Source organism: Homo sapiens, chromosome 10 (assembly GCF_000001405.40).
Source record: "Homo sapiens chromosome 10, GRCh38.p14 Primary Assembly".
Classification (NCBI taxonomy): domain Eukaryota; kingdom Metazoa; phylum Chordata; class Mammalia; order Primates; family Hominidae; genus Homo; species Homo sapiens.
This window is the reverse complement of record NC_000010.11, coordinates 420,828-440,580: the sequence shown is the minus strand read 5'-3', so window position 1 is coordinate 440,580 and position 19,753 is coordinate 420,828. Positions and strand designations below refer to the sequence as shown.

At 41.6% G+C, this 19,753-nt stretch overlaps 1 protein-coding gene and 1 pseudogene across 7 annotated transcripts in view; both read left to right on the top strand.

Annotated features, from left to right (window-relative positions):
• The window catches only part of DIP2C (disco interacting protein 2 homolog C), a 415,468-nt gene that overhangs the window by 249,088 nt on the left and 146,627 nt on the right, over positions 1–19,753 (top strand). For all 7 annotated transcript variants that reach the window (NM_014974.3, XM_005252427.5, XM_005252426.4 and 4 more), the window contains one exon: positions 17,548–17,757. In NM_014974.3, coding sequence (NP_055789.1) covers positions 17,548–17,757 — 210 coding nt within the window. The remainder of the gene's footprint in view (positions 1–17,547; positions 17,758–19,753) is intronic.
• RN7SL754P (RNA, 7SL, cytoplasmic 754, pseudogene) lies at positions 10,077–10,342 on the top strand (annotated as a pseudogene).

Here is a 19,753-nt window from a genome sequence, read left to right as displayed (position 1 = left end):
GAAGAGTTTGTACCCCTCTGGGTGGAATTGGACTTTTCTTCTGATTAGGCTGGTGCATACATGTTCTCAAATCTTCATATAAATGTGCTATATTGTTGTATTGTTTTAGAACAAGCAAATTGGACAATTTAGGCAGTTACCCAAATCACGGGTCATAAACTTTGCCTGCAAGTTGCCAGATAGTATTTTAGTTCCTGCAGGCCATAAGGTCTGTCACAACCACTCAACTCTGCCCTTGGAGTGTGAAAGCAGCCATAGGTGATAGCAAGTGGGTATGGCTGTGTACCAATAAAACTTTATAAGAACAGCGGACCAGATTTGGTGCACAGATGTGCCAACCCCGATCTGAATTACTGAAGGTAATAGCCCATTTATATTTGTGTTATGTAATACTGCTTTTATTTAATCTTGAATTTTACATAACTACCCAAATTCTCTATTTTCTCTGCCCAAATAATTATAAACTACATCTCATGATCTTCCCACCCAAGTAAAGCAGAAAGTGTAGTTATCCAGATACTTGTTAGAAACATGGATTGAACCTACGTTGTTTGGTGTTTAGTTTCTGTGATTTTGATTCCAACATTATTCATGTGACAGTTGCAAGCTTGTCTTCTCAAAGGACCTAAATCACCTTACATCCCACTTTGAAGCTACACACCACTTTGACACCATTTTTTTCTCCACTACAAGAGAAACTTAAGGTACAATATGAATAGTTGAAAATGTACAATTTTTTGGGAGTATTTTTACTTTTGAAGTTTAGCTTGGTCTTGGCAAGCAGTGAGACAGAAGGACATGCATCAGATCAGAGCTGAGATCAAGCATATGCCCACATTATTCCAAGTAGCTCCTGAGTATTCACCTTTATACCTTTACTAATGAAGGTACTGAGATTGATAGGACAGAACTTAAAGAGTGCATAATTTGGGGTTTTTGTTGTTTTTTGTTTGTTTTGAGACAGGGTCTTGCTCTATCGCCACGGTCAGAATTCAGTGTCATGATTGCAGCTCTTGGCTCACTGCAGCCGTGACCACCTGGGCTCAGGCGGTCCTCCCACTTCAGCCTCTCAAGCACCTGGGACCACAGGTGCATGCCACCACACCCAGCTAATTTTTAAGTTTTTGTGGAGACAGGGTGTTCCTATGTTGTTGTTGTTTTTCATTTACACATGCGTGATCTTCGTCTAAAGAACACAGTGCCAGCGGGCAAGAGAGTGAACGCCGTGCTAGCAAATGCCAGTGGGCAAGGGAGTGAACGCCGTGCTAGCAAGGTTGTTGGCAAGGGAGTGAACGCCGTGCTAGCAAATGCTAGCGGGCAAGGGAGTGAACGCCGTGCTAGCAAGGTTGTTGGCAAGGGAGCTCTTTCTGCCAACGTGCTCCCTTGGGCTCCTCCTTTTCTTTATTTTAATATTAAGCAACAGCACGTAATTAGGGGCTAGGCACGGTAGCTCATGCCTGTAACTCCTGCACTTTGGGAGTCCAGGGCAGGCGTATGGCTTGAGCCCAAGAGTTCAAGACCAGCCCGGAAAACATGGCAAAATGTACCAAAATGCCTTTTGTACATTTTGTCTCCACCAAAAGTACAAAAAATTAGCTGGGCCTGGTGGTGTACACCTGTAGTCCCAGCTACTTGGGAGGCTGAGGTGGAAAAATCACTTGAGCCTGGGAGGCAGAGGTTGCCGTGAGCTGAGATGGCACCACTGCACTCCAGCCTGGGAAACACAGCAAGACCCCATCTCAATTAGAAAAAAATAACGATAATAAATAGAGACTCTTTAAAAATGATTAGGCCAGGCATGGTGGCTCATGCCTCCAGCCTCAGCACTTTGGGAAGCCAAGGCAGGCAGATTGCTTGAGTCCTGGAGTTTGAGACCAGCCTGGGCAACATTCCAAAACCCTGTCTCCACCAAAAATACAGAAATCAGCCAGGCATGGTGGTGTGTGCGCATAGTCCCAGCTGCTCGGGAGGCTGAGGTGGGAGGATCACTTGGGCCCAAGGAGGCTGAGGCTGCAGTGAGCCATGGTCATGCCACTGCACTGCAGCCTGGGCAACAGAGGAAGACCCTATCTCAAAAAAAAAAAATGCTTAATCCTGTTTGTTTAGTTTATGGTTATAATTTGCCAAAACTTATGGTAAAAAAATGTTATTTGTATGTGTTCTTTGTGTAACTAACAAAATGGACTTAAAAGGATAACCCACTTGAAATATTTTAAACCGAATTCTTGGCACTAACCGGTTATTTAAGGCAACACACATTTTTCTTGACCACTTTTTATAAGAGAAACGATGAGTTTGAAATGGAAGAAGCAGTGTGGTTATTTGCTTGCTTATTTCTCATATTGAATCCAACCACTGAGAGATGTTACTGGGTCATGTGTGATGAATAACCTCATTGTACAGATGTCTTTGCAAAATGCAAAAGAATATTTGAAATGTTATTTTTGTGAAATATTTGGATTTGACTAGCATTTTTATATAAACCATAAAAAACCTTCTGTAAATTTTCATCAGGAGTCCTTGTGATATCACATGGGGTAGTTTTGTACAATCATAAATATCAATATCATAAAAATTTTTTACTCCCAGCTATTTTGTGCTTAGCAGTAGTCTGCATGTTTATTACCCTGCTTACTTGAACAAAATCTTAGCTGCATTTTCTTACCTATTTTTCTTGGTTGTTGGTAACAGTGGTTAGATCTTATCTCAGTTTCATTGCTCTTCAGAGAATATTCTTAAAGTTTATCTTCTATGAAATGACTGGCTGCTGACCAGGATCATAGTTTCTGGAGAAACTCTCATTAGCATTGTCACAATGCTAATATTCCATGGGTGAAACTTTCCCTTAATTTTCAAATGTAAAGATACAAGAATAATTTGCCAAAACTTCTGCTTCTAGCCATGATGAGATAACAGGGACCCAAATCACACCTCTGCCATAAACAACTGTAAAACTGCACAAAACGAATGAGATGGCTGTTTTAAGTCTGTGACTACAGCTGTGCCAGCCAGAACTTGAGGGCAGGAGAATGAATGAGACGCACAGACAGTACATTTGCCCTCTGCCTGGAGAACACCTGCAGACCGTGGCTCAGAGAGCTCAGGTGTGAGTGGAGCATGGCCACCCTACCACGTCCAGGAGGCGGAGATCAGAGAGAGCTCAGGTGTGGGCGGAGCATATCACCCTACCACATTCAGGAGGCGGAGCTCAGAGCTCAGGTGTGGGTGGAGCATGGCCACCCTACCATGTCCAGGAGGTGGAGCTCAGAGCTCAGGTGTGGGTGGAGCATATCACCCTACCATGTCCAGGAGGCGGAGCTCAGAGAGACCTCAGGTGTGGGTGGAGCATATCATCCTACCACATCCAGGAGGTGGAGCTTGGAGAGAGCTCAGGTGTGGGTGGAGCATATCACCCTACCATGTCCAGGAGGCGGAGCTCAGAGCTCAGGTGTGGACGGAGCATATCACCCTACCATGTCCAGGAGGTGGAGCTCAGAGAGAGCTCAGGTGTGGGCGGAGCATATCACCCTACCATGTCCAGGAGGCGGAGCTCGGAGAGAGCTCAGGTGTGGGTGGAGCATGGCCACCCTACCACATCCAGGAGGCGGAGCTCGGAGAGAGCTCAGGTGTGGGTGGAGCATATCACCCTACCACGTCCAGGAGGCGGAGCTCAGAGAGAGCTCAGGTGTGGGCGGAGCATATCACCCTACCATGTCCAGGAGGTGGAGCTCAGAGAGAGCTCAGGTGTGGGTGGAGCATATCACCCTACCATGTCCAGGAGGCGGAGCTCAGAGAGAGCTCAGGTGTGGGCGGAGCATATCACCCTACCATGTCCAGGAAGCAGAGCTCAGAGAGATCTCAGGTGTGGGTGGAGCATGGCCACCCTACCATGTCCAGGAGGCGGAGCTTGGAGAGAGCTCAGGTGTGGGCAGAGTATATCACCCTACCACGTCCAGGAGGTGGAGCTGAGAGAGAGCTCAGGTGTGGGTGGAGCATATCACCCTACCACGTCTAGGAGGTGGAGCTCAGAGCTCAGGTGTGGGTGGAGCATGGCCACCCTACTACGTCCAGGAGGCGGAGCTCGGAGAGAGCTCTGGTGTGGGCGGAGCATGCCACCCTGCCAAGTCCAGGAGGCGGAGATCGGAGTGGGTGCAGGACTGGAGCTCTCCACCCATCCACACCAGCAGCAAATCAATCCAAGCCTGCCCATGGTCACGATGACCCAGCAGTGCCTGCGCTGCCTGCTAAAACAAGAGCTGGAAAGCTTCCGAAGAAGCTTATGGGATCCTGAGCGTGCTCAACACGTTACCCACAATGTGCAATATTAAGCAAACAATCACTGCATACACAGAGAAACCGGAGGTAGAATCTGTGGTCAAGAAAAAGGCAGTAAAATGTGGACACACATGCAAGATGATCTCTGTCACTCACCACACGTGGTGGCTGAGTACATGAAGTGCGCCCGGTCTGAACTGAATTCGCTGTGTGAAAGACACCAGTTAATATAAAAAATAGAAAATATTTTCTTTGTATTTCTTATTGAAAGTATAGTATGAGCATTTTGAGTTAAAAGTATATTAATAAAATTAATTGTACCTGTTTATATATTTATATATATATATGAGGCTACAAAGTAGGTTTAAAGTTCTATATAGGATTCTCATAATTCTGTTGGAAGGTGCCAGTCTAGATGTCTGATACAGCAAAAGACAGAGTTTTTAAATCTACAATTATAAATATTTCGGGAATCAAATTAAAATGTGTCAAAGAACGAAAAGAAAATATTTTAATACTTGAGCCAGAGGAAGGGAAGACACTTTTTATTACAATGGAGTTGGGGAGTTTCAGGTTCCATACGTGATAATCTTGAGAATTGTCACTGCCTCCTCACAGGTGAAAAGCTGAGCAAACTGAAAACTCAGCAGCTCTTCTTAAACCTGCAAGAGACATGAGGTCACAGGCAAGCCACTGTCCCCAGATAGGGTGGACAGGTGAAGTGGAGAATCACCATACACTGGAGCAGAAAGCTCCAAGGAACCCCCGCTGGGATTGGAAAACCTGAACTGGAATTGACAAATTGCTGTAGTGAGGTTGTGGCCAAGTCTGAGAGTTAAAACGTCCAGGAGGCCTGTGCATACAGGGCCATGATTTTGTGAGTTGTACCATCAGAAGCTCAACCAGGTTCTCGAAGTAAATATCAGGGAAGAATCCCCTCATACTTACTACAGGGGACGGAGAATAGGAATCATTTTCAAATATGCAGGAGCACTCTTAACTAGGTCTACCTTCCAGAGAAGCTAGTTAACTAGAGACTAACCTGGTGGGGTTTTATCAAAGCCTTCCGGCCTGGGGAAAAGGAAATATCCAACTCCAACCTCCAGAACTGAAAAGCAAAGAGAACACTAAAAAGCAAAAAAGAACAGAGTATCCAAGCACTATGGGACGACTACAGAAAGCATAAATTATGCGGAACGGTAATACAAGGAGAAGAATGAGGAACAGAAGAAGTATTTTTAACATTAATGGCTGAATTTCCTCAGATTAATGCCAGACACCAAACCATAGATTCAGGAAGCTCCAGAAACACGAAGCAGGATAAATGTAAAAACAACAACGACAAAAACAAAAATAAACTATACTTGGGCATATAATTTTCAAACTACGGCGAATCAAAGATTTTTTAAAAACCCCAACAAAGAAACCAGAGTAATCTCCTTCCCTATAGAGGATCAAAGATAAGAATTCTATTCAACTTCCCCTCAAAAACCACGAAAGCAAGAAGTAGAGTGAAATATTTAAACTATTGAGAGGAAAAAAATGCCATTAACCTAGAAGTCTATACCCTGTGAAATTATCTTTCAAAAAGTGAAGGAAAAGTAAAGACTTTCTCAGAGAAAAATTGAGAAATTTGTTGCCAGTAGACCTGCCTTGCAAAAAGTGTTCATAGTTCTTTAGAGAAAATAGTAGAGGTCAGTAACTCAGCTGTGCATAAAGAAAGGAAGAGCAGAGTCTGTGTACAGGGGCTCACACCTGTCACCCTAACACTCTGGGAGGCCAAGGCGGGAGAATTGCTGGAGGCCGGTTATTTGAGACCAGCCTGGGCAACGTAGTGAGACTCTGTCTCTTAAAAAAAGCCAAACATGGTGGCTGACACCTGTAGTCCCAGCTACTTTGAGAGGCCAAGATGGGAGGGTCACTTGAGCCCAGGATCCTTTTCAAGGCTGCGGTGAGCTATAATGATGCCACTCTACTCCACCCTGGGCAACAGAGCAAGACCTTGACTGTTAAGAAAAAGCATCAAAGAAGGAACAGTGAAGGTAGGAGAAAAACTTTTATTTTTCTTAATAGATTTAATGTAACAGTTCATTCATAATAGCGACAGTGTATTTGATTATATGCTTATGTATATACCATATACACACAGTTAAATGTAAGTGAAATGAATGACAGCAGTGATACAAGGGATGGGAGAGAGCAATTAGGATTTAGGATTATTTTGTTTTTATAGTGTGCTTGCATTATCCAGAAAGCAGTATAGTGTCATTTGAAAGTGGGCTTGGGTTACTTGTGAATTTATATTGCAAATCCCAAGGCAGCCACTTAAAAAAAAGTAACTGATATGATAAGAAAGGAAAGAAAATAGAAAATGCTCAATTAAGACCACAAGAAGAAAGAAAAAAAAAGACAAAAGGGCAACAGATAGAAAATAGTAACAAATATGGTAGATATTAATTCAACTGTATATCATTACTCACTTTCAATGTCAGTCTAAATGCACCCAACTATATATTGTCTATATAAGAAATCTACTTTAGATATAAAGAAATATATATAGATCAAGAGTAAAGGGATAGAAAAAGATATAAATGTTAACACTAATTTATTTATTTTATTTTTTTTGAGATGGAGTCTTACTCCTTGGCCCAGGCTGGAGTGCAATAGCCCGATCTTATCTCAGTGCAACCTCCGCCTCCCAGATTCAAGTGATTCTCCTGCCTCAGCCTCCCGAGTAGCTGGGACTACAGGCATTTGTCATCATGCCTGGCTATTTTTTTTTTCCTATTTTTGTAGAGATGGGGTTTCACTATGTTGGCCAAGCCAGTCTTGAACTCCTGACCTCAGGTGATCATCCTGCCTCGGCCTCCTAAAGTGCTGGGATTACAGGCATGAGCCACTGCCCAGCCAACACTAATTTTAAAAAATGGAAGTGGTGATGTTAATTTGACAGAGCAGGCTTTACATCAAGGGAAGTTACCAGAGATGATTATTTTCTCCAAGAAGATAAAACAATCCTTAAATGTATTTTTGCCTAAGAAAGCATCAAAATGCCAAAGCAAAAACTGATAAACTTCAAGGAGAAATAATCCAGTATTATAGTTGGAGACTTTAACACCCCTTTATCAGAAATGGACCAATTCAGTAGCCAGAAAATCAGTAAGGACAAAATTGAAATCAACAACATCCTCAGTCAACTGTATATAATTGACATTTATAGACTATTTCCTCCAACAACAGAATGCTGAACATTCACCATGATATACCACGTTTTGGTCCATAAAACACACCTTAACAAATTTAAAAGAATAGGAATTAAACGAGTATGTTCTCAACCACAATGAAGTAGAAATAAATAATAGATGACTGGAAAATATTAGGAATTAAACAATACACTTAAAAATAATGCATTGCTCAAGGAAGAAATCTGAAGATTTCTTTAAAGTTTTGAAGTAAATGAAAATGAAAACTTTTTAAAATTTGTGAGATGCAATGAAAGTAATGTTTATAGGGAAATTTATAGCTTTAAATGCATATGTTAAAAAAGATCTGAAATCAATAAGCTCCCACCTTAGAAAACTAGAAAAAGAACAGCAAATTAAATTCTAAGTAAGCAGGAGACAAATAATGAAAGAGCAGAAATCAACACATTGAAAACAGAAAATCAGTAGAGAAAATCAACGAAACCAACAGCTGGTTCTTTGAGAGAAAATCTATAAGCCTTTAACAAGAAAAAGAAATACAGCAGATAAATTACCAATATCAGAAATGAAATAAGGGACATAACTACAGGTCCCATGGACATTAAAAGGATAATAAATATTATGAAAAACTCTATGGCCACAAATTTGATAACGTGGATGAAATGGACCAATTTCTTTAAAGACAGAATCTGCCAAAATTTGAACAGGAGGAAACAATCTGTATAGGCCTGTATCTGTTAAATTGAATCAGTAGTTGATAACCTTTCAAAACAGGAAGTGCCAGGCCCAGTTGGGTTCATTGGTGAATTCTACCAAACATCTAAAAGAAATTATGCCAATTCTCTACAATCTCTTTCAGAACATAAAAGCTGAGGAATACTTCTTAACTCATTCTAAGCATCATTTTAATACCAAAACTGGAACAAAATATTACAAGAAAACATCTCTCATGAACACAGATGCAATAACCTTCAACAAAATATTAGCAAATTAAATCCAACAGTGTAAAAAAAAAAAATTGTGCACCAAAACCAAGTGGAATTTGTTTCACGCATCCAAAGCTGCTTTAACATTTGAAAACCAATTAACGTAATTCATCACGTTAACAGGCTAAGAAAAAGGAAAAGAATTTGACAAAATCTAACACTCATAATAAAAGCTCCCAGCAAACTAGGAACAGAGGTCACCTTCCTCAACTTGATAAAGAATATGGACAAAAAACCTATTGTTAACATCATACCCAATTGTGAGAAACTAGAATTTTTCCCACTAAGATCCGGAAAGGGGATCAGGAAAAACAAGGATGTCTCCTCTCACCACTTCTTTTCAACATTGTACTAGAAGTCCTAGCTAATGCAATTATGACAAGAAAAATAAATACATATTCATTGGGAAGAGAAATAAAACTTTGTTCATAGATGGCATGTTTGCCTATGTAGAAGATCCAAAAGAATTGAGTTTAATATACAAAAGTTGAACGAATTTCCTGTTTACCAGCAAAGAACAAGTAGAATTTGAAATAAAAAAGTGGCTCATGTCCATAATTCCAGCAATTTGGGAGGCCAAGGCAGGCAGAACACTTGAGGTCAGGAGTTCGAGACCAGCCTGGCCAACATGGCAAAACCCCATCTGTACTAAAAATAATAATTTAAAAAAAAATTTCCAGTAGCACTCCCCAAAATGGAATACTCAGGCATAAAATCTAACAAAATATGTTCAAGATCTTATGAGGAAAACTACAAAACTCATTCACAGAAAAACTAAATGGACAGGTAGTCCACGTTCATGGATAGGAAAACTGAATATTGTCAAGATGTTTTCCTTCCAATGCAGTCCCAACCAACATCCGAACGAGTTTTTTTTTCAATATCAACACACTGATTCAAAAGTTTATTTGGAGAGATGAAAGACTCAGAACAGCCACTTCAATATTGAAAAAGAAGAACAAAGTTGAAGACTGACACTATGCAACTTCAAGACTTACTATAAATCAGTGATAATCCAGACAGTGTGGTATTGGTGAAAGAACAAACAAAAGGATCAATGGGACAGAATAGAGAGCCCAGTAAGAAAATATAGTCAACTAAACTTTGACAGAGGAACAAAGGCAATACAGTGCAGCAAACACAATATTTTTAACAGATGGTACTGGAACAACTGGACATCCATATGCAAAGAAAAACACCAAACCTAGTCACAGACCTTACATCTTTCAAAAAAATTAAACAGATCACAGAGCCACTGTCCTCATTAGTATAGTGGTGAAATATTCCTGCCTGTCAAAATAGATGACAGATGTAAAATACAAAACTATAGAATTCTTAGAAGATAAGGTAAAAATCTAGTGACTTTGATTTGGTGATAAGTTTTTAGATATGACACCAAAGGTGCAAGGTGTGAAATAATTGATAAGCTGGACTCCAATAAAAATGAACATGTTCTGCTATGTCAAAGACTCTTAAAGTAATTAAAATACAAGCCACAGACAGGGAGAGGATGTTTGCAAAAGACATAAATGATAACTTTTATTTGAAATATACAAGGAACTCTTAAAAGTCAACAATAACAAAACAATCAATCTGATTAAAATAGGGGCCAGCCAAGTGTGATGGCATGTGCCTGTAGTCTCAGCTACTCAGGAGGCTAAGGCGGGAGGATCACTTGAGTCCAGGAGCTCCGGGTTGTTGTGAGTTATGCCTCTCAGGTGTCGACACTAAGTTCGGCGTCAACCCAGCGACCTCCTGGGAGGGGTGAACTAGCTTAGGTTGGAAATGGAGGAGGTCAGAATTCCTAAGCTGATCAGTAGTGGGATTGCGCCTTGGAATTGTGCTCCAGACTCGGCAACATTTTGAGATCCTGTCTTTAAAAAATGAATAAGTAAAAAATGGGTCAAAGACTAACAGATGGCTCATCTAAGAAGATATAAAGATGGCAAATCGACATATGAAATGACGCTTCACATCATATGTCATAGAGAAATGCAGATTGAAACAACAGTAAGACACCACTATACACCTATTAGAATGCCCAGAATCCAGAATGCTAGCAACACCACAGCCTATGAAGATGTGGAGCTGCGGGAATTCTCTCTCATTCATTGCTGGTCTTAAAGCAAAATAGAACAGCCTTTAGGAAGACAGCTTGGTGGTTTCTTACAAAACTAAATATACTCTTTACCATATGATCTAGGAATTACACTCCTTGGCATTTGCTCAAAGGAGTTGAAAACTTACGTCTACATACAAAGCCTACACATAGATATTTAGAGCAGCCTTATTCATAATTGCCAAAACTTGGAAGCAACCAAAATGCCCCTCAGTAGGTGAATGTATAAGTAAACTGTGGTACATACAGACAATGGGATATTATTGGATGCTGAAAATAAATGAGCTCTCCATAGAAAGACATGGAGGAAACTTAAATTGACTTCTTTCACTTAGCAATATGCAATCTGAAAAGGTTGCTGTATGATTTTAGCTATGTGACGTCCTGGGAAAGGCAAGACTATGGAGACAGTAAAAAGATCAGTGGTTGCCAGGGTCCAGGGGGAGGCAGCCAGGGTCTGTGGGGGAGGCAGCCAGGGTCCGGGGGGAGGCAGCCAGGGTCCGGGGGGAGGCAGCCAGGGTCCGGGGGGAGGCAGCCAGGGTCCGGGGGGAGGCAGCCAGGGTCCGGGGGGAGGCAGCCAGGGTCCGGGGGGGGAGGCAGCCAGGGTCCGGGGGGGAGGCAGCCAGGGTCCGGGGGGGAGGCAGCCAGGGTCCGGGGGTGAGGCAGCCAGGGTCCGGGGGGGAGGCAGCCAGGGTCCGGGGGGGAGGCAGCCAGGGTCCGGGGGGGAGGCAGCCAGGGTCCGGGGGGGAGGCAGCCAGGGTCCGGGGGGGAGGCAGCCAGGGTCCGGGGGGAGGCAGGGATGAATAGGCAAAGCAGGAGGATTTTTTAGTAGCATGTGATCTCTGTATGATACTGTGATGGTGGATACATGTTATACATTTGTCCAGACCCATATATTGTACGACACCAAGAATGAACCCTGATGTGAACGATGGAGTTTGGGTGATAATGATGTTTCAGTGTAGAAGCATCAGTTGTGACAAGTATACCACTCTGGTAGGCAATGTTGATGATAGGGGACGCTGTGCACATGTGGAGTTGGAAAGGATAAGTGAGACATCACTATAAAGCTGGAAAATATGATAGAAGAAATTTTGCTGGTGGGTTTAACAGGTTGGAGAAGGAAGATGAAGTCTGTGAGCTTGAAGAGGGATGAAAAGAAATTAACCAAAGTGAAGACCAGAGAAACCAAAATTAAATGCGAACAGAACCTCAAGCTCCTGTGACACAATGTTAATATCCTTGTAATATAAGAAGGAAAAGAGAAAAGAGCAGGAGCCTTTGAAGAAATGAGTCAAAATTTACTCAGATTGATGTCAAACACCTGTGTCCAGCCCCGAGAAGTTCAGTGAACTCCAAGCAGAACAAGTATAAAAAGAATCACATCCAGGTTCATGATAGTCAAAGTGCAGGATTAAGAGGAGATCCTGAAAGGACTCCGAAGAAAAAGACACGTTACACTCCAGAGAAGCATTTGAACAATGCATGACTTCTGTGAAGATACAATGGAGACCAGAAGACCATGGAAAGACATTTTTTAAAGTACTAAAAGGAGAAGAAAGGGCTGTCAACTCATATCCGGTGAAAATCTCCTTTATAAACACGGATGAAACGACACATTCACACACATGAAAGCTGAGAGAATATGTTATCAGCAGAACTACACTATAAACATGCTAAAGAATGTACTTTAGGCTGATTGCAAATGCTATCAGATGAAAGGTTAGCTCTATGAAAAAGAAAGGACCCTAGAAATCAAATTTTCTGGAATATAAAATCATAGAACACTTTATGATTTTATGGTTTTTAGTTTTTTATGATCTTAGAATTTTATGATATAAAATCATAAAATGTCCACGCTTCTCTACACCTTCACCTGTTTTGAAGTCCGTGCTGTACCATGCATCAGTAGTTTATTCCTTCTTATTGTTGAATTATATTCTGTTAGATGGATCTAACACATGCTGTTTATTCATTTACCAGTTGGTTATTCATTCTTTCCTCTATTCGGCAATTATGAATAATGCTGCTGTCGACGTTTATGTACATATCTTTGTGTATACGTATAATTTCCTTTATCTTGGGAGGATGCCAAGTAGAATGATTGACTCTTATTGTAAGTTTAGGTTTAGCTTTTTAAAAACTGCCAAATTGTTTACAAAATAGCTGTACCATTTTACATACTGCCACCAGCAGTATATGAGCATCCCAGTTTCTCCACATCATGAGAAGCAGTTGGTATTTTGGTATTTTTATTTTTGCCATTCTAATTGATGTGAAATGGTATATCATTGTGTATTTACTTTGTAACAGTTAATGATGCTAAGCATCTTTTAATGTGCTTATTAGCTTTTAATGTGCTAATTCCTATTCATAGCTATTTGTATATGTTAATTGGTAAAATGTCCAGATTTTTTGCCCATGTTTTAAAATGGGTTGGTTGTCATCTTATGGGTTATAGGTGCCTTATACGATCTGAACGACTTTTACAGGTGTAAGGTTTCTCAGTGAAAGGACAAACTGTTCTGTAGCAGACAGAATAATGACCCTCCCCCAAGATACCCAGGTCCTACTCCCCAGAGCTTTTGAACCTGTTACCTTAAGTGGTAAAAGGGATTTTGCAGCTATGATTAATATAGAGATCTTGATATGGGACCACTATCCTGGTTTAAGCAGGTGGACCCACTGTAATCAAGAACGTCCTTACAAGAGAAAAGGAAGAATTGGAGACTGGAGTGATGGACTTTAAAGATGAGGAGGGGCCATAAGTCAGGGACACAGGTGGCCTCTAGAGGTTGGGAAAGACCAAGAAATGGATTCTCCTTTGAAGCCTCCAGAAGGAACGTAGCTCTGCTGACACTCAGATTTTACACTTCTGACTTCTCCATCTGTAGGATAATAGATACGTGTGTTGTTATAAGCCACGAAGATCAAGGTAATTTATTACATTAGCTAGAGGCAGATAATCATCTTTTAAAACTTAGTAGTTTTCTATTTTAATGAAGTCCAGTTTACTAATTTTTATGGATTTTTTGGAAGTTTTAGAAGTCTCATAGTCTTACTGTTCTTTCATTTAGGTCTGTGATCCATTTTGAGTTAATTTTTATCTGTGCAGTAGGGATCTAAGTGGGATTTTTGTTTGTTTGTTGTGGTTTGGTTTGGGGGATTTTTTCCCCCATGCTTTTTCTTTTTGGTGTGTTGGGTACCCAGTTGCCACAGCAACATTTGTTGAAAAAAATACTACCTTTCTCTTACTGAATTGTCTTGAGACGTTTGTCAAAAATAAATTGACCGTAAATATAAGACTTTATTTCTGGGTTTAATTCTGTTCCTTTGATGTATACATCTATTCTTCTGCTAATACTACTGCCTTAATTACTGTGACTTTATGTAAAGTTTTGAAATCAGATAGTGAAGTCCTCCAACTTTGTTTTCCTTTTTCAAAATTATTTTGGCTATTGTAGGTCCTTTGTATTTCCAGATAAAATTGAGAATAAGCTTTCAATTTCACACACACAAAGCCTTCTGGGATTTTATTAGGCAGTGCCTTGAATTAATGGAACAGTTTGGGAAGAATTGCTCTCTTGATAATACTGAGTTTTCCAATTCACAATCATGAATCTATCTCCATTTATTTAGTTTCCATTTATTTGGATCTCCTTTAATTTCAGTAATGTTTTATAGTTGTCAGTGTACACATTTTGTACCTTTTTGTTAGAAGTTTGGCTGAGTGTTTTATGTTTTTGATGTTACTGTGAATGGAACTATTTTCTTAACTTTATTCTCAGGTTGTTTATTGCTAGTATATGTATATCTTGTGTCCTGTGACCTCATCAAACTCATTTTTTAGTAATGCAAAACATTTTTGATGGACTTCTTGCCGTTTTCTACATCCAAGGTCATGTCATCTATGAATAAAGGCACTTTTATTCCTTCTTTTCTAATCTGGATGTCTTTATTATTAAATTTGTTAATTTATTTCACTAGCTAGAACCTGCCAGATAATGTCAAATAAAAGTGGCAAGAGGGGACATCTTTGTCTTGTTCTCCATCTTAGGGAAAACGCCTTCTATTGTTTACCATTAAATACACTATTAGCCATGGCTTTTCATGAATGTGCTTTAACAGGTTGAGGAAATTGCCTTCTATTCCTGATTTTGTTGAGTTTATCTTGAGTTTGTCAGTACTTTTCTATGTCTCCTAAGGTTAACATGCGGTTCTACTCCCATAATTCTATATGGTGTATGACATTAATTCACTTTTGAATGTTAACCTGAATTCCTGTCGCTCTGGTATTTACTTCTAGTCACCGCTGGTCATGCTGTATCATCCGTGTCATATTAGTCACCACTGGTCATGCTGTATCATCCATGTCATATTAGTCACCGCTGGTCATGCTGCATCCATTTCATATTAGTCACTGCTGGTCATGCTGTATCATCCGTGTCATATTAGTCACCACTGGTCATGCTGTATCATCTGTGTCATATTAGTCACCGCTGGTCATGCTGTATCCATTTCACATTAGTCACCACTGGTCATGCTGTATCATCCGTGTCATATTAGTCACTGCTGGTCATGCCGTATCATCCGTGTCATATTAGTCACCGCTGGTCATGCCGTATCATCCGTGTCATATTAGTCACCGCTGGTCATGCTGTATCATCCGTGTCACATTAGTCACCGCTGGTCATGCTGTATCATCCGTGTCATATTAGTCACCGCTGGTCATGCTGTATCATCCGTGTCATATTAGTCACCGCTGGTCATGCTGTATCATCCGTGTCATATTAGTCACCGCTGGTCATGCTGTATCATCCGTGTCATATTAGTCACTGCTGGTCATGCTGTATCATCCGTGTCATATTAGTCACTGCTGGTCATGCTGTATCATCCGTGTCATATTAGTCACCGCTGGTCATGCTGTATCATCCGTGTCATATTAGTCACCGCTGGTCATGCTGTATCATCCGTGTCGTATTAGTCACCGCTGGTCATGCTGTATCATCCGTGTCGTATTAGTCACTGCTGGTCATGCTGTATCATCTGTGTCATATTAGTCACCGTTGGTTATGCTGTATCATCCGTGTCATATGCTGTTTGTTTGGTTTGCTGCTATTATGTTGAGTGTCTATATCATATTATCCTTCAGGTTTCTTGGAAGAGGTAGGTGGGAGTGGGGAATGAAAGATTGTAAAGAGTTGTGAGAAGACATTCTGGGGAGATGGTTGTGCTCCTTCTGGACACCTGGGTGTGTACCTTTCTCAAAAGTCTCAAGGCTGTGTCAATTTTACTTTTATAGAAATTGTGTAAGTTTTCTTAAAAGGCAGAGTGGGCCAGGAGCGGTGGCTCAGGCCTGTAATCTCAGCACTTTGGGAGGCTGAGGCAGGTAAATCACGAGGTCAGGAGTTCGAGACCAGCCTGGCCAGCATGGTGAAACCCCATCTCTACTAAAAATACAAAAATTAGCCGGTCATAGTGGTAGGTGCCTGTAATCTCAGCTACCTGGGAGGCTGAGGCAGGAGAATCTCTTGAACCAGGGAGTGAGAGGTTATTGTGAGCTGAGATCGCGCCACTGCTCTCCAGCCTGGGCAACAGAGGAAGACTCTGTCTCAAAAAAAAAAAAAAAAAAAAAAAAAAAACCCAAGGTGATAGAGAATTTTCAGGCTCTTAACATTGTTGCTTTTCTAACAAGTAAACTTTTAAAAAAATTCCCAGACAGCATAAGTCATGTGACAGTGATAATAAGTGTGTATATTGTTTGCAATTATTATCTTTTAAAAAACAAACCCGTGTCTTAAGATTATTTGCCGTGACTTCTCCTCTCACCCGATGGCTGGAGCTGCTCACCTGAGCTGGCGTCTCTCATAACTCACCTGGAGGTAGGATTCTGAGTGTCATTCTTAAATTGAAGTTTAAATAACAAATACACCAACAATTTATTCCCAAAAACCTTGGTACTGCATGAAAAGTTATTAAATGAAAAATATTCTCATAAATTATAGTGAAAAAATTGATGTATTTTGTTATAATCCAAGATATCCAATCTGCACAGATAGAAAAATCAATAATGAGAATGTATAAGAAACAAATACTGTAAAGGTGAATTGATTTGAGTGTAAAATGTGACGTGATGAAGGTTTGTCGTGTGCCCCGGAGGAAAACGGGGAGGTGGAGGGGCTGCTCCGCGTGAGGCACGTTCTGCTTTCTCTCCTGTTACCATCATCAGTGTCTTGATCCTTAAGGAACTGTATGGGTATCTAACACACACACACCGACGTAGAAATAAATCAGCTGCATGGTTATCTAACACACCAACGCACAAATCAGGTGCATCGGTATCTAACACACCAATGTAGAAATAAATCAGCTGCATGGGTATCTAACACACTGATGTAGAAATAAATCAGCTGCATGGTTATCTAACACACTGACATAGAAATAAATCAGCTGCATGGGTGTCTAACACACACACCGACATAGAAATCAGCTGCATGGGTATCTAACACACCGATGTAGTAGAAAAATCAGAGCCCACAAGAACATCTCAGGACTAACAAGGGCTAAACATACGTCACACTGAGACTCCTGAGAGCCGCACAGGCCCTCAGCATCCCCTAGGAAACGCGGCCCTTGTTCTCTCACTTTGTGGGTGACACAAGCAAACACTTGGTTTCTTCCCAAACTGCTGTGTAGAGGAAATGGGTCAGTGTGTATTTGTCTGAGATGACAGTGTCAAACATCTTATAGCATGTTTATATAAGGTGTGTTGGATGAAAAACTCATTATGCTAAAATAAATGGTTTATTATCTGAAACGTGGTTTAACTTCTCAAGAGTGTATCAAAAAGTCATTGAACAACTATTGAGACTTACGTGAAGTAAATCTGTGTTTGGCGAGGGACTGAGATTGTGGTGCACGTTTTTGCTGCAACATACAGCAAATCACCTTTCTTCTTACACAGATACCTCTTCTGGCTCAGAAGATGAAGGCTCAGTGCAGGGGGACTCCCAGGGCACCCCCACCTCCAGCCAGGGCAGCATCAATATGGAGCACTGGATCAGCCAGGCCATCCACGGCTCCACCACGTCCACCACCTCCTCGTCCTCTACGCAGAGCGGGGGCAGCGGGGCTGCCCACAGGCTGGCGGACGTCATGGCTCAGACCCACATAGGTGAGCACGCTTCACGGTGTCTTTCTGTGCCTGTTGTGTAAACGCCTTTGTGTGTGCACATTCTCTGTTTGCATCGTTGCAGCGGAATCCCTCGGTGGAAAGAGCACAGAGCTCCTCTGGCCCCTGGGGTGCTTTGGCTGGATTGTTTCTGGAAGCTGCTTTACACTTCTCATGCCCAGGTCCCTCCCACAGCTGCAATTCCAGGGGCCTTGTTCCTGGGGAATCCTGCAGCCGTATCCGCTCCCATCTTTTCTTCTCACTTATGCTCCTACATGAAACCTTAACAGTCCCAATCAACAGGACAGGGTTTTAAATGTGCTCGTCCTGACCGTGGGAGTCATTTAAGGAAACGAGGGCTTTAACCACAGCTGCTTGACGCTGCTGTCTGCCACAGGTGTTCAGACTTCTTGGGGGCCGGCACACTGCTTTGTGTAGGTTCTATGACAGGGAGATACTCTGTATGAGAAAAAGCACAAAGTTAGGATCACTGCCCTATGACGTTTGAACATGCTGTGGAAAAGGAGTAAAGTGAGAATTATTAGAGGAAGAGCTGGCACGTGGGGAGCGGTGATGGGCCTCACGTCGCTCTGCCTTTGAACGGTTCAGTAGTAAATGTTTTTCATCAAGTACGGGACTTGGGTTGAATAGGGTTTTGTGTGTGTCTCCATTAAAGCAGTAACCGGAGACGACTGCTTACCACGTCGCCGATAACGGAGCTCGAGCCACGGGCTCAGACCCTCCCGGTATCTCAGCTGCCGCAGGAAAACCTGATCCCTGAAAAAATCATCAGTGGGAAGCAGGTGCACGTCATTGTGATTAAATAGCCCACAGACACCCCAGAACCCCAGAATGTTCACTTCTAGATCACTGACTCCTTTACGCTCAGAGGCGTTTTGGATTGACTTGGGTCTCAGCCCCTTGGTCGCTCACTGAGACTTAAAGCGTCGGCCGTTTTCTGTCTGGAACAGGAGTTTGCTGGCAGGAGAGCTGGGTCTGTCTCACTTTTCCCAATAACTGCTGCTGGGATCTTGAAGTCAGTTCTCCTGCTTTTAGGCTTTTGGTGAGGAAAAAAATGAAAAAAACCATTTCTTTTTTCTCTCTCAGAACTGTTGTGAGTATAAAGGAGAAAATAGAAATACTCTGTAAAAGTTTGTAAAGTAATACTCAAATGCAAAGCAGTATTAAACTTCAGTTTAACACAGTTTCAGGAACATGTACACTGGTTTATGTGAATTAATAACCTGTACTTGAAATCACAGTACGTTAAACAATGAACAGGAATGTGTGACTGTTATTTTTTTTTGTAATAAAATTCCATGTGTATATTGGATCCCAGGATAGTGGCTGAGGCTCTGCCAGCTTTATCGGGCACCTGAACGGGGAGGCCAAACACCATCTCTGCCACTTGGGGGAAGCATTTGTATCCTCGGATTTTATTCAATTTTAAGGAAATGGGCAGAATCTTACCAAGGAAAACACATATTTTTGAACAAGTGAATCACGGCACTTGGCCTCCCTTTGCGGGTTTACCCTTGCAGTACTGGAGGAAGTTTTAGTACAAAGAATGTATCCAAACTATGAGGGGCTCATAACTCATGTACATCAAGGCTCAGTGTGACCCAAATGTAACTCTCGGGTGACCACATTCCGGTAATTTCTAATTAGGCACAAAGATAATCTTCCTAGACTATCTGGAAATTTTCTGTAACTTTGAAATTTTTTTGGAAAAAAAGCAGTGGCAAAATAATGAAACTTAATCAGAAAAGGAAAAATATTTTCTGTGGCAAAACAAAAGAAGTAAAAAGTCAGATTTGCACTTGACCTTGTGAGATAATCAGAAGCCTACAAACAGGAAAGTAGCGTGTGTGATCGTGCGTCTGCGTGCGCGTGAGTGTCCTAAGGAGTCCAAGCACAACAGATGGCTGAGTCACACTGGCCGATCCCTCCGGCAAGGGACAGAAGTGGAGGCTGCAGAGGCTGCTTGTGTCCGAGGGGA